The 25211-nt window shown below is 36.1% G+C and overlaps 1 protein-coding gene across 13 annotated transcripts in view; it reads left to right on the forward strand.

The window, feature by feature from the left end:
• TTC6 (tetratricopeptide repeat domain 6) overlaps positions 1–25211 on the forward strand; it is a 247089-nt gene that overhangs the window by 96923 nt on the left and 124955 nt on the right. For all 13 annotated transcript variants that reach the window (XR_007064009.1, XR_001750287.2, NM_001310135.5 and 10 more), the window contains 3 exons: positions 4166–4284; positions 8781–8975; positions 22104–22245. Coding sequence is in view for 11 of the 13 variants with exons in the window: in NM_001310135.5 (NP_001297064.2) it covers positions 4166–4284; positions 8781–8975; positions 22104–22245 (456 nt within the window). In the remaining 2 variants the exon portion in view is untranslated. The remainder of the gene's footprint in view (positions 1–4165; positions 4285–8780; positions 8976–22103; positions 22246–25211) is intronic.

Consider the following 25211-nt stretch of genomic DNA (forward strand, 5'->3'; position numbering starts at 1 on the left):
ACATAATAAAAACCACATACGGTTTTTACCGGTGTGGTGGCTCACACCTGTAATCTCAGCACTTTGGGAGGCTGAGGCAGGTGGATCACCTGAGGCCAGGAGTTTGAGACAAGCCTGGCCAACACAGAGAAACCCCATCTCCACTAAAAATACAAAAATTAGCCAGATATGGTGGTGCCTTTCTGTAAGCCCAGCTACTTGGGAGGCTGAGGCTGGAGAATTGCTTGAACCTGGGAGGCAGAGGTTGCAGTGAGCTGAGATCACACCACTGCACTCCAGCCTCAGCAACAGAGCAAGACTCCATCTCAAAAATAAATAAATAAATAAATAAATAAATAAATAAATAAATAAATCCCAAAACCACATATGACAGACTCACAGCTAGTATCATACTGAATGGGGAAAACTGAAAGCCTTTCCTCTAAGATCTGAAGCACCTGAAAGATGCCCACTCTCACCACTGTTATTCAACATCATACTGGAAGTTCTAGCTACAGCCATCAGACAACAGGAAGAAATAAAAGGCATCCAAATTGGAAAGGAAGAAGTCAAATTATTCTTGTTTGCAGATGGTATGATCTTATATCTGGAAAAACCAAAAGACTCCACAAAAAACTATGAGAACTGATAAACAAATTTAGTAAAGTTGCAGGACAAAAAGTTGACATGCAAAAATCAGTAGCATTTCTATGCCAACAGTGAACAAACTGAAAAAGAAGTAAAAAGTAGTCCCATTTACAAAATACCTAGGAATTAACCAAAGAAGTGAAGGATCTCTATAATAAAAACTATAAAACACTGATGAAAGCAATTGAAGAGGACCAAAAAATGGAAAGATATTCCATGTTCATGGATTGGAAGAACCAATATTGTTAAAATGTGTATACTATCCAAAGCATTCTACAGATTCAATGCAATCTGTATCAAAATACCAATGACATTCTTCACAGAAATAGAAAAAACAATCCTAAAATTTATATGGAACCAAAAAAGGCCCAGAATAACCAAAACTATCCTAAGCAAACAAAAACAAAAACCATACAAAACAAAACAAACAAACAACGACAACAAAAAACAAACCCCAAACAAATAAAAACAAAAACAAAAAATCTGGAGGAAAATCACATTACCTGACTTCAAATTATACTGCAAAGCTATAGAAACCAAAACAGCATGGTACTGGCATAAAAACAGACACATATACCAATGGAACAGAATACAGTACACACCTACAGTAAACTCATTTTCAACAAAGGTGTCAAGAACATATGCTGGGGAAAAGGGAGCCTCTTCAATAAGTGATGCTGGGAAAATGATATCCATATGCAGAAGAATGAATCTAGACCCCTATGTCTCACCATAGACAAAATCAAATCAAAATTGATTAAATAATTAAATCTAAGACCTCAAACTATAAAACTACCACAAAAACAAACAAACAAACAAACAAACAAACAAACAAACACTGGGGAAACTCTCCAGTACATTGGTTTCAGCAAATATTTCTTGAGCCATACCCCATAAGCACAGGCAACCAAAGCAAAAATGAACAAATGGGTTCATGTCAAGTTAAAAAGCTTTTGCACACCAAAGGATACAATCAGTAAAGTGAAGAGACAACCCACAGAATGGGAAAAATATTAGCAAACTACCCATCTTGCAAGGAATTAATAACCAGGATATATGAGGAGCTCAAACAACTCTGTAGGAAAAAATCTAACAATTTATTTAAAAATATGCAAAAGATTTGAATATACATTTCTCAAAAGAAGACATACAAATGGCAAACAGACATATGAAAAGTGCTCAAAACTACAATGAGATATTATCCCAGCCCAGTTAAAATGGCTTATATCCAAAAGACAGGCAATAACAAATGCTGGCAGGGATGTGGAGAAAAGGGAAGCCTCATACATTGTTGATGGGAATGTAAATTAGTACAACCACTATGGCGAACAGGTTGGAGGTTCCTCAAAAAACTAAAAATAGAACTACCATATGATACAGCAATCCCGCTGCTGGGTACATACCCCAAAGAAAGGAAATCAGTATGTCAAAGGGATATCTGCACTTCCATGTTTGTTGCAGCACTGGTCACACAACAGCCAAGATTTGAAAGCAACCTAAGTGTCCGTCAACAGAAGAATGGATAAAGAAAATGTGGTACATACACACGATGGAATACTATTCAGCCATGAAAAAGAATGAGGCTGGGCACAGTGGTTCATTCCTGTAATCCCAATACTTTGGGAGGCCTAGCCGTGTAGATTGCTTGAGCTCAGGAGTTTGAGACCAGACTGGAAAACATGGCAAAACTCCATCACTACAAAAATACAAAAATTAGCCAGGCTTGATGGTGCATGCCTGTAGCCCCAGTTACTTGGGATGCTGAGGTAAGAGGATCAGTGGAGCCCAAGAGGTTGAGGCTGCAGTGCATTGTGATCATTCCGCTGCACTCCAGCCTGGGCTACAGATTGAGGCCCTGTCTCAAAAAAAAAAAAAAAAAAAAAAAAGACAGATTCAGTCATTTGCAACAACATGGAAGGAACTGGAGATCATTATGTTAAGTGAAATAATCCAGGCACAGAAAGACAAACATCACAGATTCTCACTTATTTGTGGGATCTAAAAATCAAAACAATTGAACCCATGGAGATAGAGAGTATAAGGATGGTTACCAGAGGCTGGGAAGAGAGGCTTGATGGGTGTGAAGTGGGGGTGGTTAATGGGTACAAAAGATAGAATTAATGAATAAGGCAAAATACTTGATAGCACAACAGGGTGACTATAGTCAGTAATTATTTATTTATTTATTTATTTGAGATGGAATTTCACTCTTGTTGCCCAGGCTAGAATGCAATGGCACAATCTTGGCTCACCGCAACCTATGCCTCCCAGGTTTGAATGATTCTCCTGCCTCAGTCTCCTGAGTAGCTGGGATTACAGGCATGCACCACCACGCCTAGCTAATTTTGTAGTTTTAGTAGAGATGGGTTTCTCCATGTTGGTCAGACTGGTCTTGAACTCCCGACCTCAGGTGATCTGCCCGCCTTGGCCTCCCAAAGTGCTGGGATTATAGGTGTGAGCCACTGCACCCGGCCAGTCAGTAATAATTTAACTGTATATTTAAAAATAACTGAAAGAGTATAATTGGATTGTTTGTAACACAAAGGAAAAATGCTCAAGGGAATGGATACTCCATTTTCCATGATGTAATTATTATGCATTACATGCCTGTATGAAAACACTTCATGTACCCCATGAATATATATACCTTCTATGTACCCACAAAAATTAAGAATTAAAAAAAGATTTGATTAGTCAGATCTCAGATGAAATTTAATTAGGATAGCCTTAGGATCCACAAAGTAAGTGCATAGATATGGGATGACGAGATTTAGTAGCAAATGTGAAAAACTTCAGTGTTTTTCCTGGAAATACCATACAGGAAATTCAGATTACCAAGATGGTTAGGTGGAATGCTCTGTATTCATTGAACTTTCTTTATTCTTCATTACTTCATCACCCAAGAAGTTGCAATAGCTCCTTCTTTACTACTGTATCAAACCTAAACCCTACCTAACATAAAAAAATTAACTTCCTTTTATCTGGCTACCTTCTACTTATTCAACCATAGCTTTTCCCAAGGAGGGCCTCCCTGATTTCTTCCTTAAATCTAATCTCAAAAAAATATAGAGAAACCCACAGAGAAAATATCTTTACATGAGTGATTACCATGAATTCTGCATAAGTTTATTCTGATAAACTGATCAAAACAAAAATATAAAGCACTAAAGTTTTTTTTAGCTTGTGGTTGTAACCAGCAGTCATGCCAAACTTTAAGGAAATAAGGGCAAGTTTTATTACAAATACCAATAAAGAAGAGTGCACTTATGGAGGGAAAATATATTTATTCTTCAATAATTTTAAGGTAATAAAAATGTTGTAAATAAACATGATACTAATATTTTTATTGTTATATAGGTATATATGTAAAATTTAGGAATGGATTTAGAGGAAACTATCAATTTACTTTTAGCATTCTGTTATAACATATACATAGAAATCTGGAGTTTAAATATTAGGTGACTCGCTAAATATGAGAGAAAGATCTAACTCTCATGTTACATCTTCTCTTAACAGCACACTTTATATTTTCTTAAAGGCAAAATCACCAGAATTCTTGCAAATCGAAGGAAAAGAAATTAAGCGAATGCGGAAACGTAAATCACTGAGACCAAGAAAGTCTTCAAAACCTCTTTGTGATAAAAAACTACATAAAAAGTAATTTTCTTAAATTTATAATTTTTCTATTGGGAGAGGAGTTATTCAGTAGCATAGAGACATGAAAATACATTTTTAAAAAAGAAAACTAAATGTTTTAGAAATTCATATATGAGACCTAAGTTAAACCTTCTCACAGGAAAAGTTGGTGGCAGATTTTACAGTTAGTGCTATACTTTATGCTTTTTTCTTTTTCTGTTTTTGACAAATGTACTTACTTTCATGATGTAACAATAGCTGGAAAAAATAACTGTTTGTGAGACTGAAGAAAATTAAATGTTAGCATGTTAGATTTGATATTTTTGGTCATTGTAATGCCTGATTTGGATCAATTGCTTATTATATTGGTTAATTTTTTTATGATAAAATAAAAAACAAGCCAACACAAAATGTGCATAAGCCATCTGCTTGGTAATTTAGATGGCATTATTTTTCTCTACCATTAATATCATGCTTCATCCTCACATCCATAATTTTAATGGAGTTTCTCGTTACACAGGAATACAACCACAATTTTAAATAATAGTGTGGAAATGCAATTTAGATTATGATTTACATTTTGCTAGTCACCTTGTTGAAACTCTGATTTTCTCCTTATTTCACCACTAAGTTTTTATGGGTTAGTTTCTTCTAGATTCTTCTTCATTTAACTCTTAATGGGGGTTTGAAGAAGCTTTAATTATTAGCTTTTGTTGTTGCTTAGGGAACTAACTGAAAGGTATGCTGGACATGGAAGACAGCCTTTTTATGGCCAGCTCAAACTTTGTAAATGGATATTACTCACAATTTAGTAGCTGAGAATAGACTCATGGGAAAAGAATTCCAAAGTTTATGAAACAGTCAAATTGGCATTTAAGTGACCCTGTACATACCATTGCTTATCTGCATTGCTTTAAGCTCATTTAGTTAGCAAGATTATGTATTAAAACAAATAGTCACAGCAGACAACAAGTATTTTACCTTCAATAAATAGTTACTGTCAGATTATCAATGAAGCAGAAACTTCTTGATTTTTTTTTCTAAAAAACCTTGCATTTAGTGCATTAAGCAGAGTAGTATGGCCACACACAGAGTCAGAGTCTTTTCTTTTTTATGTCTTAGTGTTTCAAAGAATGACAAATAGTCCTGTTTAAGAAGAGTGTGCTATAAAAACACACAGCCTTTCCTGAGCATGCCAAAAATATTTGTAGATCTTGTTGATATATATATATTACTGCTTTAATTCATTAAAACAAAAATTAGAAATTTTCATTAGTGAGAAATAGAATGAGATGCAGAGGAATAAAAGTCTGATTTTTTAAAAATTATATAATAAAAGAGAATCTTAGGAAAATGTTTCTGAAAGTCTTTTATTTACTGTTCCTTTTTCTTTAATCAATTTTCAACCTAAATTTTCTCACTAGCCCTCAAATTAAATTGTATTCTTGGGAATTCAAACATCTATTGCAGCATATTGTTATTTAGGTAAATAACCAAGGGAAATTTATTTGCTTAATGTTAGTAGACTATAATGGGTGCATGGGAATTCAGATTGGTTGTGATGCTTTTTAAAGAAAATATAAAAATCAGTAATGTAATCTCAAACACATTCCACTAGCCAGGACCTGTCTCAGGTAGAATGATGGTGTAGGTGAGCTTGACATCAGAGCACACCTTTTTTTTCCCCTCTATTTTAAAAGCCCTTTGTTAGGAGCCCAGAGTACCTGGGAGTCCTGGCTTTCTGGACACCCCCTTTCACTCCTCCAGTTAGGCCTGTTTGTCTCAGGCATTTCTAAATGTTTAGACTTACCTCTCTTTTCCTCTTTCACATGAACACATTTCATATCCTATTTTTGTTAGGCCCTATGCTCTTTTGGAAATGCCATAGACCACTCTCTATTAATGATTCAATAGTGTCCATATGGGGCCTGGCAATGGGTCAGGTGCTGTGTAGTACAAAATAATAGTAACAACCTTAAAAATAAACCATTTCTTGAGATATTTCTGCAGGCTGGGAATTACACATCTTCTATTTTTATCAGTTCTTATAAAGGCAAGGGTTAGGGATTTTTATCCTCATTTATCAGAAGACTTTTAAAGAAGTCAGTAATACAGTTGGCAAGTGTTAGAACCAAGATCCTGATCCAGGCCCAGCCAACTCCAAAGTCTATATTCTTTACACCATGCTAATCTCTGAATCAGTGCCAGCCATATTGAGTGGTCAGTGGACAGACCAGCATTAACCCTCTAGATAAAGGTTAAAATGGGTGACACAAGAGTAGAGCAACTTACAAAAAGAGACAGTTTGTAAAAAAGAAAAAAAGATAAACTTGGCAGAGAAGTCTGTCCTTGAGGTCTTGTTTGAAGAATATTTAGACATGGACAAAAGAGTAGACAGCACTGTATCCATAACTGAAGGGACTGACAGATGTAGCCCTATGATTTGTCCTGGAAACTGATGAGAATAGCTAACTTCTGCCATGTGAGAGACACTGTTCTAAATGCATTCACTCTTCTTTCTTAAAGCAACTGTATCCAGGACAAAGTATAAAGAAATTAATTGACTTGCTTATGACCAAGTGAGAATTGTAAACAGTGTTTGAACCCAGGCAGTCTGACTCCAGAGTCTGTACTCTTAATCACTATGCTAGAAGTAAGTCCAAAGTCTAGGAGCCTTGAAACATAGAGAAAGGAAGTTAGCCAAATGCAGTAAGCAACAACCAATCAATTTGCTGGGTAAGGGAGCACTTAAAGGAGATCAATCTGGTAGAATTTTGCAGAGGGGAATAGACAGAGGCTGCCGTGCTCAACCCAACTGGTGAACGACTGCCTGCGCAGGCTGAGGTGATGAAGGGTATGCTGGCAGTGAGGATGGAGAAGGAACACACCTGAGCAACCCTGTGCGGGGGAGAAACTCAGTTTTGCATTGGATGTGCAGGTGAAAGAGAGAGGGGTCAAAGATGTTTTCTATCTTCAAAAGGAGGAATCTAGTTGAGGTAGTGATATTAGAGGTAAGATTTGGGAGCTCTCAGCACAGAGGTAATAGCTGAAACACTAAAGATGATTTTTCCAATGTACAAAGAGAAGTTCAAACCTCAGAAGCCACACCCAGTTTGGAAACTGGAGAAGGAAAACCAATGGCTAAGTCATATTATGATGAATTTGAGAGGTAGATGGAAATCTGGGATATTGCAGCTTTAAAGGCCCATGAAGGAAGAGCAATTTCAACAAGTTATTCATATTCTCAGCTGTGTTTTGGGGGTCAGAAGAGAACATGACCTAAAGATCTAAAGCTGATTGGATTGGATTTGATTTGATGAAAAGAAGGTCATTTGGTTGTATAAGCTTTAGTAGGAAGGTAGGGATGGAGTACTTCTGGAGAAGGGCCACTTCCACCCAGAAGTCACTAATAGGCAAGAAATGTGGCCAATAGCCAGTAATGTTGTGTTTGGATGCCAGGGCTTACCCACTAATTTTGTGACCTACCCAAAATAAGGATAATTATACCTCCAATACAGCTTCGTTGTGGGAATTAGAGAAAATGTGTGTAGAGGACCTAGCACAGAATCTGGCATATAGTAGGTGCTCAATAATTATTTGTTGATTGGATTACAGGTGGCACTGGGGATTAAGAAAGGAGATTTTTGGCTAGGCGCAGTGGCTCACGCCTGTAATCCCAGCACTTTGGGAGGCCAAGGCAGGCAGATTACTTGAGGTCAGGAGTCTGAGACCAGCCTTGCCAACATTGGGAAACCCCATCTCTACTAAAACCACAAACATTAGCTGGGCGTGGTGGTACGGGCCTGTAGTCCCAGCTACTCAGGAGGCTGAGGCAGGAGAATCACTTGAACCTGGGAGGCGGCGGTTGCAGTGAGCCAAGATTGTGCTACTGCATCCCAGCCTGAGACTGGGTGACAGAGTGAGACTCCATCTCACAAAAAAAAAAAAAAAAAAAAAAAAGCAGATTTTCATGTCATCCTCTCTACTTAGGAAAGACAGAAGAGAGATACAAGTCCAAGCAGAGTGGGAAAGGAGATGCCACACTGACTCAGAGAAACCCAGAGTTCTATCAATGCTAGTTAATGGATAATGCCCTACCTATATTGTTCCACTTCTTTAGGGACATTAGCATTTGACCAGAGTAGCAAAGGAGTAATACATGATGGCTGGATATGGTGTCCACAGACTGAGTTTCAGAATTCAGGAGAGAAGAGGTTGGGGTGGGATGATAAAGAGTTTGTTTTTAGACTTGTTGATCCTGAGATGCCTGTAGACTGTTGTCTGTAGAGGTGTAGGTTGAGCTATTCAGCAGGCAGTTGGATACAAGTTTAAAGCTCTGGACAATGGCCTGAGATTGTGATATTAAATTTGTTATATACCATTATTATAGTTTTAAATCAGATCTCCTCCATTTATGTATGTCTTTAGAACCTGAACTAAATTGTCAGTATAAATGTACTTTATATCTAAAGTCCACAAAATGATGAAAGGAGCTCACTTTCTTTTCTCTGTTGCAGAATTCCACAAGACTACTCCATGCCGCACCTTCATGATCTGTGCACCACCATCCCAGCCCAGGAGCTGCCTGTTGACTTGCGCCTGGCTTCTCGAGTGTATCACACTGCTAACAGGAAAGGCCACGATACCCTGCTTGGAAAATTTGGAACCTCTTTCTTAGATGATCGCTTTACAGATGAAGAACAAACAGATAGGTAAGAGTTCCACTGGTAATTTGATTTTAAGCTAAATGTAAACTGTCATATAAATCCTGCCTTTTGAGTTCTAGATTTTAAAGACTTGATTCTGTTCTTGGACACTAAAGAGGAGGGAGCAGTTTTTGTTTTTTTCTGCTGCTTCCTCAGGTATACAGTCTAGGTCTGTGTCTCCATTTCCTGACAATATTAACATGAACCCATTCCCAATTGTAAGGTAACTTTAGTATTCCCAGAGTGTTACATACATGATCTCATTTGTTTGTCATCACAGCTCTGGAGTACAGATGTGGAAATTGAGAGTAATAAAATTTAAGCAATTAGCTACACATAGACAATTTAAAAAATCACAGATTTGACACTTGGACCCAGTCTTTTGAACTAGATTTCACCATCATTGGGTATACTTGGGTCCAGGGATCACATACAAAAGTCATTGCTCTTGGAGTTTGTTCTCCTTCTCCTTGGGTCTCACCTTCCTTTGGAATCTGCATATTCTTTTGTGGAGAGTATATAATTTATAGCATCCTCAAAAGAAAGGAGAAAAGGGAAGGAACCTAATGTTTATGCAGCAGTAACTATATTCCGAGCAACTGTGCTGTGTGCTTTGCATATGTTTCCTATTTAAATCTTCAACTGTAAGGGAGAAGTTGTAATTTCCATTTTATTCATGAAGAAATTTAGGGTTCGTGATACCAGGTTACTTGCTGAAGTTCTTATCTCTTGATAGTGATAGAATCCAGGTTTGTCTAACTCAGTTTTTCTCAGCCTTTTCATTATCACCCACTTAAAGAGAATTTTAAGGCTTTTTTTCTTCTAATCGCCCCTCCTGATTAAATTTTAATATGCCAGATATACTGTATATCTGTTTATATACTATATGAATGTATGTGCTTTATAAATAAAAAGAGCAAACTTTAATCACACTGTGCTCCCCCGACCCAAAGCACCAATTTTTACCTCCTGGGAGGGATATCACCTGCCCATTGAGAATGCTTGCTCTACAGTCTCTCGCCTTTCAGAAGCCATGGTAAAAATACTGAAAAATGTACTGCATGTTTTAAGACAATTACAAATGTTAAATATTAAGTTAAATGGAAACTTTTTTAGTATTATAATTTAACTATCCTAGGTATATGAGAATACTATTCTAAAAGATCACTTTTAATGACACTATCACAAGATTATTAGTACCCATACTTTTCATGGTATATTTTGAATGCATTTTCTCAAACTTGACTTCTAGTAAAAATTGCAATGCTAGTGCATCCTTTCATGAATTAAAAATTACCTGGTTTCCCAGTGATTAGCAATCACAATTGGTTTCTATTTGAATCCCTAAAAGAAGGTCATTTTTATGTTTGTTTTCTATGTAGGCAAAAAAAAATTTTTAGGATTTGTCAGTCATAATTTTATACATCTGAAGTCTTTTAGTTTTGCTTTATCAAATTAAATTTTTGAAAAAAATTGTATATGAAGAATTTTTGAAATTTCAGAACTGCTCCAGTGTCTCCAATAGAAAATAGCAGTTCAGCATGACATTCTTTGGAATATATGTTAAAGCCTAAAGCTAGGAGTAGAAAATAAATACATAAACATAATCTAGTAGGCATGAAACTCTGCTATTTTGAGTCATTCCCATTAGCACTACACAAGCCAAGCATCATTTGGAGGACTTACAGCTATAATTATTCACGCAAAGTGTTAGAAATGCTAGTTTCTTTTGAATTCTGAAAATATTTTTCTTCAAGTAGACCTCACTTTCTTTTTCCAAGAGTCAATAAATGTTCTATTTGATGAGGATAATTCTTGGCAATTTGTTCCTAAGTACCAAATAAGAAGTTAATTTAAGTACTGAATATTTAATTCTCCAGCATCTATCTCTTGAGGATTACCTTGCTAAACATAGCTTAACCTTTTCAAAATATATCTGTCTGCTGAGCCTACAAGTTCGGAGAAATGTATAATTTTTTTCTGCACTACCAAGCGTTCTCAAGAAAGGTAACTGTAAACAAAATGAATACCTTTTCATTTGATGGCTTTTTGCATTTTTTTGTGCAATGATCAGTTAACTTCAAAGGTAGTAATAGTTGTGGTTGTGTAGTTTTAATGTTTCCCAATTTTGTTAATCATTATTTATGGCAAACACCAAGAATATTTTAATGGAATTGGAAGGGTATATACTTAAGTTTATTTGAACAGCGGTGTAGTGTTCAAACTTACGCTTATTTTGCTAAACAGTAATTATGATGAGAACTATACAAATATCTTGTATTGGCCTTATTTTTGCTTTAAAAATGATTTGTATATTATAGAGAGAAGTTTGTAGACATTTAGTTCAAATTTTTGGTATGAAATTTTATATTTCAGGCTTTAAAGTAGGCAAAATGATTAAAGGTATTTAAAGACTTAGATTAATGTTAACAACTTGGTGAATAGCCTTTCGGACATCTCTTGTATATGTATGTGTTTAAACCACCCATGACATTCTATAGCCTGAGTTTCTTCATTCAAGATTGTTTGTGAACATTTAAATTATTTCATGATATTTACTACTTTATACAAAAATTTTTTAATAGAGACAGGGTCTTGCTCTGTTTCCTAGGCTGGTGCGCAATGGCATAATAATAGCTTACTGTAACCTTGAACTCCTGGGCTCCTCCCACTTCAGCCTCCTGAGTAGCACTAGGCTAATTATTATATTTTTTTGTAGACATAGAGTCTCACTATGTTGACCAGGCTGGTCTCGAACTCCTAGCCTTAAGTGATCCTCCTGCACCAGCCTCCTAAAATAATAGGATTACAGATGTGATCCACTGTGCCTGGCCAGATAGTTACTATTATAACCAAGCTATGGTGACACTATTTATGCCAATTTATGACACTGTTCTTTTCCTTACACCCTTGTCAAACTATGATTGTTACTCTTTTTGAATTTTTTCTAATCTTTTATTATTTTTATCCATTTCTTGTAAGGTTGCACATATTTTTAGATGTCTCTTGGTTATGTGCTTTTTTCCTTTTGAGAATTACCAGATCTGGAGTTGTCATTTATCTCTTTTGTATTGTTTTGTAAATGATCTTTTTATATTAAAATTTTAGTTATTTGCCGTATATATTATAGATATATTTTCAATTTGTTGTCTGCTTTTCAGTTTTGTTTATGGTGTTTTATGCTATCAGAAATTTTTTAATGTAGCAATTTTTTTTGTGTGTTCTAGTCTTGATGCTAATCTTAGAAAGGGTGTTTATACGTTTACATTTTAATGTATTCTCTCATATTTTCTTCTAGTAACTTTGTGGTTTCCTTTGGAAAAAATTAAATATTTAATCCATTTGTAATTTATTTTGATAAGAAGAACATATTTTAAAATATAATTTATTCAATGAATCTTCTTTTCCTTACTGATTTGAAATGCTAACTTTCAAATACCTTAAATTCCAACATGTTATTGAGTCTATTTATGGATTTCTGTTCCATTTCACTGATTTGTCTATCTAAAACTGCTTGTGTATTTCCTTGATTCACAATCAATACAGAGTTGGTGGCAAAAATGCTGTCCTACAAACATTGGCTGACCTTCTCAAATCAGGCACCCCTTATAGACAGCTCCTGCGCAGTGAGCAATGCCAGGCTATGAATCCCAGACTTAACCCTCTAGTTGGCTTCAAATTAAAAAGGAAATTCCTAGTCAATTTTTGGAAAATATGTGGACAGATCATTAGCTTTATACATTAGAACAGCAGCAACAATGGAAAAACCAAAGGTTAAGTGTCAAAATTCAATGTTTAATTTCATTTTTGATTATTTTTTTACAAAAAACAATAAAAATATTTTAACAAATATGCAAAAACATGCAAGAAAATGCGAAAATGAAAAACAATTACTCAAAATCTTGCCATTTATAGATAACACTGTTAACATTCTTAAATATGGGATTCCAGACTTTTCCTTTTGCAAATAAATCATATAGAACAAAACTAGAATAATACTATATGTATAATGTTTTGTAACCTAACTTTTAAAAACTTATGTGTAAACATCTTTCCATGTCAATAAATATTGATCCGAGTAATCAAATGATATGCTTAACTCTGTGGTAGGCATAGAGGTAGGCACTAGAGAGGCATCTGCAAACAGGAGAGACATAATCACTGCCCTCAGGGAACCTGGAGACCAGTGAAAAGAAGGGTGAATTAATTACTGTGAATGCGACAATTAATATAGAGTTGTGCAGAGTGCTATGTGGAAACATGTAAGAGGAGTCCCTGATTATTTGGGGAGGTTTGAGGATTGATACCTAAATTGAAACCTGAAAGATGGATAGAAGATAGGAAGGAGGAGGGGAAAGAATGTTTTAGATCTTTGGTACTCAAAGTATAGTCCGCAGACTAGCGGCATCACCATCACCTGGGAACTTGTTAGAAATGCAGGAAATTTGTATACAGTTTGAAGTTTGAGTTCATGCTGTGGGCAATTGGAATCCATCTGATAACTGGAAGTAAGTCCAGTATTAGAGAACAGGAAGAGCAGTGATACATTTGAAGCTAGAGCTGAGGCAGGATTTTATGGTTACCCCGTATGTATGTGTGAGGGCACGTGTGAGTGCTTGGGGGAGGGATTCTTAGTCACAGTGAATTGGGAAAGCATTGATAGGTTTTCTGAGGAAGAATGACATGATCAGGTTTGCTTTAAGATATCACAGTCCTTGTCTTCTCAGTTGTGTTTGACACAGTTGATCACTTACTTTTCCAGAAGTCACCTTTATCCCTGGCCTTAGGGACCACTCCTTTCTTGGCTATCTTCCTGCTTCCCTGGGGATGGCTTCTCAGTCCCTCCTCCTGGTGTCTCCTCATCTCTTGACTTCTCAACATTGGAGTGCCCAGGCTTACCAAGGTGATCTTATCCAGGACCATGGCTTTAAATGCCATTTATATGCTGATGACTATCAATTGGTAAGAGAAATGCACAAGGATGTTCATCATATCACTTTTTATAATAACTAAAAACTGGAAACAACCTAAGTGTCTATCATGGAAGAATTTTAATTATGCATTCAATAATGAGATGCATTGCAACCATAATAAAGAATGAGGTAGAATTTTGTATTCTGAAAGGGTTAGAACTAAATTCAGAAACAACATGTGTATTATATAAAACAATTTTTTCTGCGTGTGTGGGAGAAAATTCAAGAAACTGTTAATTGTGATCCTTTTGTTTTCATTGTACACTTAACCCATAAAAGTGAAAACCACTTTGTTTTATTTTTTGCTTTATTTATATGGCATATATTTCCATTTTCATTTTAGTCTGTCTTAGTTGTGTCCCTTGTAGATTGCATAGACTTAAATATTTTTTGAGCTTATCAGAATTTTTTTTCTGATAGGTTTTTTTCTAATAGGTTGGGTCACCCCATATTCATTTATTGTCCTATCAGATGTACTTGGTATTATTTTTGTCATTTTATATTCTCTTTTTCCTTTTTTGCTTCTTTGCTATTTCCTATAATCTGTTTTGTCTGTCAGCATTTGCCTATGTGTTTTTTGTTTGTATCATTATCTGATATCTAATCTTGTGATACAGAAATCTGAAACCAACCTGTTTTTCATTTATTTGCATGTAATATTTTTCTCCTACTCATCTTGATGCTTACAGAATTTTATGTTTTGCTTTAAAATGAACAATTTCCCTAGCGTATGTTTGAGAGTGGATTGCTTTCTAATTAATTTTTGGGGGTACATGGAAAGCTCTTCTTATATGCAAATATAGTACACTATATTTCAGTATAAGACTTTTTTGTTTTATGTTGAGTAATGTTTCTATTCTACTTATTTTGTGCATTTCTTCAGGAATATCAATTAGCTGTATGTTGGATTTTCACTATCTTTCCTCTATATTTATCATTGTTTTGCTTAGATTTATCTCTTAAACCTCTGTACTTCAGTGGTTTCATTTTCTGTGGTATAAATTTTAAAAAGTCCTTCTAATTTTCATTGTGAGACTGCTATGGCATTTACAGATTTTTTTCTAAATTCTATCAGTCTCTTAAGACAATCGCTTTTGTTTATCTGAATTTTATTACCTCAAGAACACAAAGCAGAATCTTTCTAAAATATTTTTGTTTCCTATAATAAATCTTTCTCAAAAGGATGTTCTTCCTGTCACTTTTTGAATGCTATATTTCATTTTTGTAGTTTGGAGACTGTCTTCACAGAAATCATTTTGGGTTTTTCTGTGTACTCAACTTTGAATGAAGACAAGTTATTTCTGGCTACCCAAAGTTAATATTGGATAGATTTACCAAACATTTTTGACTGTTTATCTTGGAGGTATTAGAATAGTACTTTTAGATCTTAAGTAGGAGAACCAGAGATGCAGGTTTATGTTAGCAGTTGAGTCACTCAGAATCCTGAAAGGCATTGGGGGTGGGATGGGACAAGATCTGAAAAATTTGCCTCTATAGTTTCTCTCTGTGATCGTTAAAAATATTGTAATAAGGGTGACCTTTTCCTATCGGGTTTTCTATATGGTAGATTACTATAAGCTTTTCTTCTGTGCATACACATATATTATGTATACATACATTTTATGAAAATGACATTATAGATGTTATTTTGATAACATATTTCTTTGAGGATATATATCTATATATATAAATACAAATGTAGAGACACATATATGAGTAATTATTTTGACTTACTGTCTCTACTAATGATAGCTTACAAATCAAATGTATAAGGAGTGCTTTTATTTGAAAGATTTTATCCAAATCCTTCAAATAAGGTAGTAATATTGTTAAGAAAATGGAAAATTATCTAACAGAAAAATGCATTGAAGTACACTACATTTATTATATAATTTTGTATTAATAACAACTCTATGTAGTAGATAAAATCATTTTATTTCCCAAATAAAAAATACAGCGTAATGATTGACTAATCCATGTTTATGTAGCTAGTAACGGCTGGGATTCAAGCCCAGGTCTTTATAATTTTAAATGTGGCTTTTATTATATTCTACTGCTTTGTGTATTTGTGAAAGGCCATTTTATTTTTTCTCTTTATGCTTAATTCTGTATACTCGCTCTCATTCTGTTTTTAGGACCAATTTGACCTAATCTAGGAAGAATGTGAAGAGGCTTAGTTGGATAATCTGTGTGAAGCATATTTTACTTGCCCTTGGTGGTTTGTATTTGACCAATTGTGAACCAATTTTGGAAGCAGGGCTTCTGCTTATTCAGGATGAGGATTTTTATCTTACTATTGCTTGTTCCCTCCTAGGAACTGAAAATCCTGTTTTGATTCTAGGCCAAGGATGTGGCCTTGGTCATTGTGGGAGACTTCTCTGTTGTTAATTACTGAAAGCTTTGCAGTCTCTGAATATTGCCTGGTTTTATACTTCCTATCACTGGTTGCCCCCCACCCAAATGTGCCATCATCTCATGCTAGACCTTTCTAATTACAGTACACCCAGGACCTGTGGTCTGTTACACTTCATTTGTAATACTCTGTTCTGTCTCATATGCTTTTTATTTCCTACCAGTGTAGGTATCTGCGACTGACCTTCCCCTACCATCTGCCATTTCTCAATGATCAGGTCTAATCCTGGCCCCACCCCTACCCCTTACATGGCCTTGTTCTTGCTGCATAATCCAAGCAGTGACCTAAGAACGTAAGAATCACTGTGTGAGTTGGTGATACATGTCACAGAAGTACATTGAACAGAGTTGTAAGAGATCTTAGTAGTTCCCTAGCCTAAGCCTCTCATATTATGTATGAGGAGACTGAGGCAAAGCTTTGCACTCTGTATCACAGTGGGTGGCAGAGATAGAACTGGAATTAATAGTAACCTCATTTTAAATTTCTGTTATATCCACTTTGAACAAATAGCCCCATCAGTATGACAGTTTGGTATGACAAAAAATCATTTCAGTATGCACTATCAATGTCTGTTAAGAGTTTACCCTTGTGTATTTCTGTTTTTACTTGGAAATACCCAAAAAGGAATTATTTGAAAATTTGTCTGTTACCATAACTGCCAATATGTGAAAGCTGGATTTTTAAAAAAGTAAAGCAGTATCATTCCACCAGATGTCACTGTTTGCATGTAGCAATGAAGTTACGATGATTACAAATACAATTTTCCCCTTCCCAATCATGTTTTGTAAAAAAAAAAAAAAAAAAAAAAATTATATAGTTATACACTTACTCTTCTATAGACTGATTTTATCAAGACTGTATTTTCTGATCTTTTTAAAACATACATAATATTCATATGCCTCTGCTGCAGATTTCAAAGAAAAAAATTATAAAGGACTAAAGAAAGCTATTTGTAGATTAATATTTTCAAGAAGATGAAAACCTAAAGCTTTTTCCAGACCTTGGCATCTGCTTTTTAAACAACATTCTCTGTAAGTTAATGTTTTTCAAATTGTGGATTGCGACCCAGTGAGTGGGTTGTGAAATCAGTTTAGCGATTTGCTATGAGCACTTTAAAAAATGGTATCTAGAATAGAACCATTGCATGTGAGATTGACTTTGATGAAACTTTTGTATGTGAGCACTCTTCAAATTTCCCTGTATACATCTTCTATGGGTTACCTAAGAGTGACTGTGAGCAACATCCTGTGAAGCCTCTCTCAGGCTTTTGTATACCAAAGAGCAAGATAAATTTGTTAAGGAAGAGATAGTGAAGCTGTGATGGAGAACCTCTCTGTTGGGGTCATACCAAGGTAGGGGAAGATTGTTGGAGGGAGATCCCTTCTCCATGCTTCACAAGATGTAGCTCACAGTCACCTTTATGTAACTCATAGAAGATGTGTGCAGAGATTTTTTCAGAGTACTCACAGCTTAGAACAAATGTTTTCCAAACTTCTTTAACAGCATCATACAATCACAAATATATTTCTCTCTCTGGCCTCATGGGAGACCAATATTGACCCAAAAGGAGGTTCAACTTTCACTCTGAGAGAGGTGGGCTTGTTTCCTTCATTCAACTCCCTCAATGATCATAAACAATAATGGTTGTAATATCAATCACTTTCTTAGCATATTCTGTGTACAAGCCTCTTCACATACATGATTTCTAAGACATTTGACTCTGAAAAACTCAATCACTGTTGCCATTTGTAAATGAGGAAACAGACTGAAGAGGAAACATAGCACAGTGAGGGGCCCAAATTCTGTTTTTTAACCTCATTCCAAAGGCTCACTCTTTCCACTATATCAGTGATTTTTAGTCTTCCTTGAGGATAAGAGTCATCTGGGTTGTTTCATAAGTGTATCAATTCCCAGGATCTATCGCAAACCTACTGAATTAGAATCTTCAGAGAAGGGGTCTGGGAAGGTGTAGATTTGATTTCATCCCAGGATATTCTTATGATTAGGCTGTTTTAGGAAAGATTGAGTACCTTAGTGGTTTTCCATCTTCAGAGTGCACAGAATCACCTTCAGGGCTGGCTATAACACAGATAGCTAGGCCTCAGCTCCTGAGTTTCTGACTCATTAGGTCTGTGTTGGGGCTCAATAACTTACATTCCTAACAAGTTGTTATATGATACTAATGATGCTCGATAGGGAATACACTTTGAGAACTACCCAGCATCTCCTGCCTTACCAATGATTCTGCTTCCCAGGGCAGAGTCTGGGGCTGGCTTTGGCTGTGAGACTTTTCTTACTCAGCCAAAATTCAACAATATTTATTTAGTACCTACTCCATTCAAATTTTTGGGAGACAGAAAATGAGTAAGTCTCACTTTTTCTCCCAAACAAGCCTATGCTCTACTGTGAAAAAGGCATACGGAATAGAATGCAGTATATTGTGTAATGAAAGAGCAGATCAAATGCAACAGGGAAACCAGGGAGTCAGACATGAATCTGGGCTGGGTAGAGGAGGATTTGTAAAGGTCTCGTGGAGGAATTGAGATCTGAAGGTCTTGCTCTCATCATTCTCCATTTCCATAGCCACTCATTACTATAATGGCCTGTTGATTTTGCCTGTTTCCCCTATTGCTCCTGGAGTAATCCCAGCACATAAGGCATTTTTTTTGCATTGCAAATGTAGCTTGGGTGGAAGGTTGGGGGAAGGAAGCAGAGTTGGCAAAGCAGATGGTGCCCAGACTGTGAAAGACCCTTACTGCCAGGGTCAGGAGCTTGGGTTGTATATACTGTGTGTGTAGTCAGTGAGATGTTTGCAGAGGGGGTGACTGATAACAACAGTTGCAGGGATATGTGGCTTGGATTGAAGGAGGGAGGGTCTGGAGGTAAGGGACCAGCAAAGATGATATCACAGGACTCAGTTGAGAGAAGATACAGTGAACAGGAGAGACATCATGGAGGGAGAATGAACAGAAATAGTCATTACTGTTGGGAGTGAGGAAGAGATTGGTGATGAAGAGATTTTCAGTCTGAACCACTGAGATAGTGGTGTTTTTCAAAGAGAACTCTAGAAAGGGTTCGTTCTTTTCTCTGGACAAAAAGAAGGAAGCAGGGAAAATCCGGATAAAAATTTCCAGGTAAGTGCTTCATCTTTGTCATACAGGAGCATAAAGGCTAACCTTAGGTATGCCTTTCCACCAAGGCCCCCATTCATGTCTACCAGAGCTATGCACTTTAGAATGTCCGATGACCTTCACTTTCTTCCAACCAATCCATATTTCTGTTTATTTAGCGTGTTTTTGGAATGTGAAAGAGCAAAAGACAATAAGTTGTAAATGACTTTTACTATCCTGTTTCTGGCATAGAGCCAGAGAAAAGTAGAGCAGTGCTTCTAGATAACTTCTTAGTCACTGCTCTCCTCATCACCATCTCCCTCTCCTCCCAACCTATCTTAGAAATACTTATTGATCCTGATGTCTGTATTCACTTGGCTCATTTTCTTAGTCCCTAGACCTTCCCCTGTTCTTTTGTTTTCCTGGATACACTGGAATTCAGCTTCGGAAAACAGAAACATCTTGTATTTGTCTGTTCATATGCTGCTAATCAAGACAGACCCAAGACTGGGTAATTTATAAAAGAAGGAGGCTTAATTGACTCACAGTTCTGCAGGGCTGATGAGGCCTCAGGAAACTTACAATCATGGTGGAAGGAGAAGCAAACATGTCCTTCTTCACATGGTGGCAGCAAGGAGAAATGATGGACAAAAGGGGGAAAAGCCCCTTATGAAACCATCAGCTCTTGTGATAAATCACTCACATCACGAGAACAGCACTATGGGGTAACCACTCCCGTAATTCAATTACCTCCCACCGGGTCCCTCCCACAACACATGGGCATTATGGGAACTACAATTCAAGATGAGATTTGGGTGGGGACACAGCCAAACTGTATCACAGCTTTAGCTATTTTAAGCAAAAAGGGACTTAGTAATGGGAATTTGGTGTTTTAAAATCAATGAGAGGGTTAGAAAAATGGGGCATTAGGTAGGGAGATCTCCCAGGGATGATTCACAGAGCATGTTTAACTGGCTGCCTAGGGTGCTGCTGTTCCTGACACAGGAAGGCGGCAAATCTGGAAGCCAGCACTGGCAACATACCACCTTAACTGAGATTCAGGGATTAAGTAGCTTTTACTGTCACAGCTTTGGACTCTGGAGCCACACTGTGTCTGTTTGACATGCTCACTGGCAAAAAACAAACCAGTAAAAAACACAACTCACAAAGTCATAACTGGAACACTGCTACAGAAGAACTCAACATTGTCATGACTGTACTTGCCAACAGAAACATTAGAACCTTCTGCCTTCTAATTGCATTTGGTTGGTGGATTCCAAATAATATCTAGAACATTGGCTTCTGGAACCTCCACCCCGAGTTAAAACAACTGTGCCTCAGCCTCCTGAGTAGCTGGGACTACAGGTGTGTGCCACTACACCCAGCTAACTTTTGTATTTTAGTAGAGACGAGGTTTTGCTATGTTGGCTAGGCTGGTCTTGAACTCCTGGCCTCAAGTGATCTGCCTGCCTCAGCCTCCCAAAGTGCTGGGATTACAGGCATGAACCACCATGCCTGGCCAAGAGAGTTTTACCTCTCCATCCTTGGCAGTTCAGGAAAGCACATTAGAAGGAGGATGGAATGGGTGTTAAGTGGCAGTGGTATTCACCTTGCTGGGAGTAGAGTTTTAACCTCTCTTTGAATTCAGGTATTTTAGTAGGTAAGATAGGAAGCTTTTATTCATGACTCTACTCTGACAAAGCCATATCTTCTTCAGCCTGCCTCTGAGTGGGTCTACTTCTTAACAGCAGGTATCATGGGATTTGAGGATTTCAGTATATTATTAAACAACTGAAATCAGTTGGGTTTTTGTATGCTTAGTTTTCACATTTGGTAACTCGTAATGTGTTTCTTCCTATAATAGTATATCAATAAGTTAGAGGGAACAGTAGCTTTAAATGCTTCAATGTGAAATTGATATATCTATATTATGTATGTGGCACATGACTGTGTATATATTCTTAGATATTTTGTCTTTATGTTCATTTTATATTTATTTTACAGTTAAGTGTTATAATACAAAAGTTAATGTATTTTTAAGCCAGTCTGTAGGTCAGTAATTAATGACACATTTACTTTCAAATTTTGATTTATCTCATCTGTTTAGCTTAATCTTTTATTGATAAGTTTTGTTCCATATATATTCTCATGTATATGTAGCTTGTAGCCTAGAAGAAAGACTTGATGCCTACACAGTTTTCTGTTCATCTCAGCAAGAAGGGAGAACCATAATGTGAGAAGGTACTTCTGCTTAGGCTGATGCTTTGCCCCACCCAAGAAATGAAACTTTGTGTGTATGTGTGAGCTTGGAATGGGGAGTAGGTGAGAGATCAGAAGGTAAAGAAGTTTTTTTTTTTTTAACCTCTTTTGCAACTAGACTTTCATAGGGTGAATTTATTATTCCAGTATAATGAAACAAAACCATCATAAATATTACTACTAAAATGTATTAAGAACCAGATATTAGCATTTTTGGATTATTTCTCATTTTGGATTATCTGACTTCTACACAATCTCTGTTTAGTGCAGATGTCAAATGTCCATGTGTTTATTTCAGTGGAGTTATGAAATGAGGGCAAACACCTTATACTTTGTCAATTACTTAAAAAGCAAACTTATTGTTCTTATCACATTGTAGAATATTGTATGGAATTCCTGTTATGGATGACAACCAAGAATATGTCCATATTCCTCCGACACCGCAAGGGATACCACCTGAATTGGCACAAGGAACTAGAGAGCGTGCTCACAAACCACACTTGGAAGTCTTGGGAGAGGAAGTAAGAACTTTCTTTAATATTAGTTTTTTTGTACCTCACAGGTCCTCAAACTTTTTGGCTTCAGGAGACTTTTTTCACTCTTAAAAATTATTGAGGGCTGGCCAGGTGTGGTAGCTCACGCCTGTAATCCCAGAACTTTGGGAGGACATGGCGAGAGGATTGCTTGAGCCCAGGAATTTGAGACCAGTCTGGCCAACATAACGAGACCTCGTATCTAAAAATAATAACCCAGCCTGGTGGCACACGTCTGTGGTCCCAGCTACTTGGGAGGCTAAGATGAGGGAATCACTTGAGCCCAGGCAATTGAGGCCTCCAGTGAGCCGTGATTGTGCCACTGCACTCCAGCCTGGGCAACAGAGAGAGTCCCTGTCTCAAAAAAAAAATTATTGAAGACCTCAATAATTTTTTATGTGAGTTATATCTATTAACATGCTAGGAGGCCAATACAGCCTTGGGGAATTGAGGGACTATAACAAAAGATCTAGTATTTGTGTTATCACAAAAGATGGGGAGAGACTGAAAAGTATTGAAATAAATAATGTCTGAAAAGTTACCAGTTTGGCAAAAGGCAGAAAGCTATAGATTCAGGAGCCTGAGCAAATCCCAAACTGGAAAAATCCAAAGGAATATAGACCAAACCACATAATATTCAAGCTTCTGAAAATGAAAGATAAAGAAAAACCAAACATCAATCTAAGAAAAGTGGGAATGGCTATATTAATATCAGATAAGATAGACTTCCAAGCAAAGAAAGTTCTCAGAGACACAGAGGGGCATTATATTAAGATAAAGAAAGCAACAAAAAAGAAACGACATGCTACCTGTAGGGGAAAAACAAGTTGAATGGAAATGGGTTTCTCATGAGAAGTGATGGAGGCCAGAAGTAAGTGACAGAACATTTTTCAAGTGCTGGAAGAAAACAACTGTGTTTCCAGAATCCTACATCCAGAAAAATATCCTTTAGGAATAAAGGAATCAAGACATTCTCAGATAGAAGGAAACGAAGAGAATTTGTTGCCAGCATACCTAACCTAAAAGAATGGCTAGGAAAAGTTCTCTAAATAGAGAGAAATGATAAGAGAAAAAATCCAGGAATATGTAGAAGGAACAAAGCACATGTAAAGCAAAAATATGGGTAAGTACAATAAAATTTCCTTCTCCTTTTGAGTTTTCTAAGTTATGTTTGTCCATTGAAACAAAATTTATCATGCTGATGTGGTTGTAACAGAATATAGAGGAAGTATTTAAGACATACTATAAATGGGAAAGGGTAAAGAGACATAAAGGGAGGTGAGATTTCTACGTATCACTTGAACTAGTAAAATAATACCCTCAGTCAATTGTGGTAAGCTATATTTATAAAATGTAATACCTAGAGTAACAATTAAAAAGCTATACAAAGAGATATACTAAAAACACTATAAATAAATAAAAGTAGAATTCTAAAATATGTTCAAGTAATGTACAGGAAGACAGGAAAAAGAAAACAGAAACAAAAGAAACCAGACAGAGCAGACAGGAAACAAAATCTAAAATGACAGACTTAAACCCTAACTTAAATGTAAATGGTTTGAATTTAGCAATTAAATGACGGAGTGGTAAAATGGATTAAAACACATGACCCAGATATATAATATTTACAAGAAACAAATTTAAAACATAATGATATAGCCAGTTTGAAAATAAAAGGGTTAAAAATACACAAACACCATTCAAAGAAAAGTGGGAATGGCTATATTAATATCAGATAAGATAGACTTCCAAGCAAAGAAAGTTCTCAGAGACACAAAGGGGCATTATATTATAATAAAAGTGTCAGCACATCAAGAAGACATGCCAGTCTTAAAAAATATATGCATCAGACAATAGAACTGCAAAACATGCAAAGCAAAATCTAAGAACTGAGAGGAGAAATAGACAATTCCACAATTATAGTTGGAGAGTTCAGCATTTCTCTCTCAAAAATTCATAGAACACTTAGAAAATCAGCAACAACCTCATCAACCAGTAGGTTCCAGTTGAAATTTATAGAACACTGTACCCAACAAAAGCAGAATGCATATTGTTTTCAGATGCCATGAAACATATACCAGGATAGAGCAAATCCATAATGGACTAAAACTAGAAATCAGTAAGAGGAAGATAACAAAAATCTCCAAACACTTGGAATCTAAACAGTACAGCTATAAATAATCTATAGGTTAAAGAAGAAGTTTCAAGGGATTTAAAAATACATTGAACTGAATGAAAATGAAAATACAACATATCAAAATTTGTGGGACATAGCTAAGCAGAATTTCTAGCACTAAATGTTTTCAATAGAAAAGAGAAAGTCTCAAATTAATTATTTAAGCTCCCACCTAAGAACCCCCCAAAAAAAGAGCAAAATGAACCCAAAACAAGCAGAAGGAATAAAAGCAGAAATCAATGAAATTGAAAACAGAAAAACAGTAAGGAAACTTAATGAAAGAAAGAGCTGGTCATTTGAAAAGATCATTGAAATTAATCTCTGGCAAGACAAGAAAAAAAGAAAAGCCATAAATTACCAATATTATAAATGAAATGAGATGTTACTACAGACCCTGCAGATATAAAAATATTAATATAGGAATACTATGAACAACTCTACACATGCATACATTTGATTGTTTAGATGACGTGAAGAAATTCTCGAAAAACACAAACTACCACAACTCACCCAGTATGAAATAGATTATTTGAATAGCCCTATAAATATTAAGGAAATTGAATTATTGATTTATAGAACATTCCCCTTCTCCCAAATATGTAAGCCCAGATGATTTTACTAGAGAGAATTCTACCACACATTTAAGGAACAATTAACAGCGATTCTATACAATCTCTTTCAGAAAATAAGAGGAGGGAAGACTTCTCAATTCATTTTTTGAAGCTAGTAATACCCTAGTATCTAAACTAGACAAAGACAGTAAAAAAAACAAAAAAGA

This window comes from Homo sapiens, chromosome 14 (assembly GCF_000001405.40).
Source record: "Homo sapiens chromosome 14, GRCh38.p14 Primary Assembly".
NCBI lineage: Eukaryota > Metazoa > Chordata > Mammalia > Primates > Hominidae > Homo > Homo sapiens.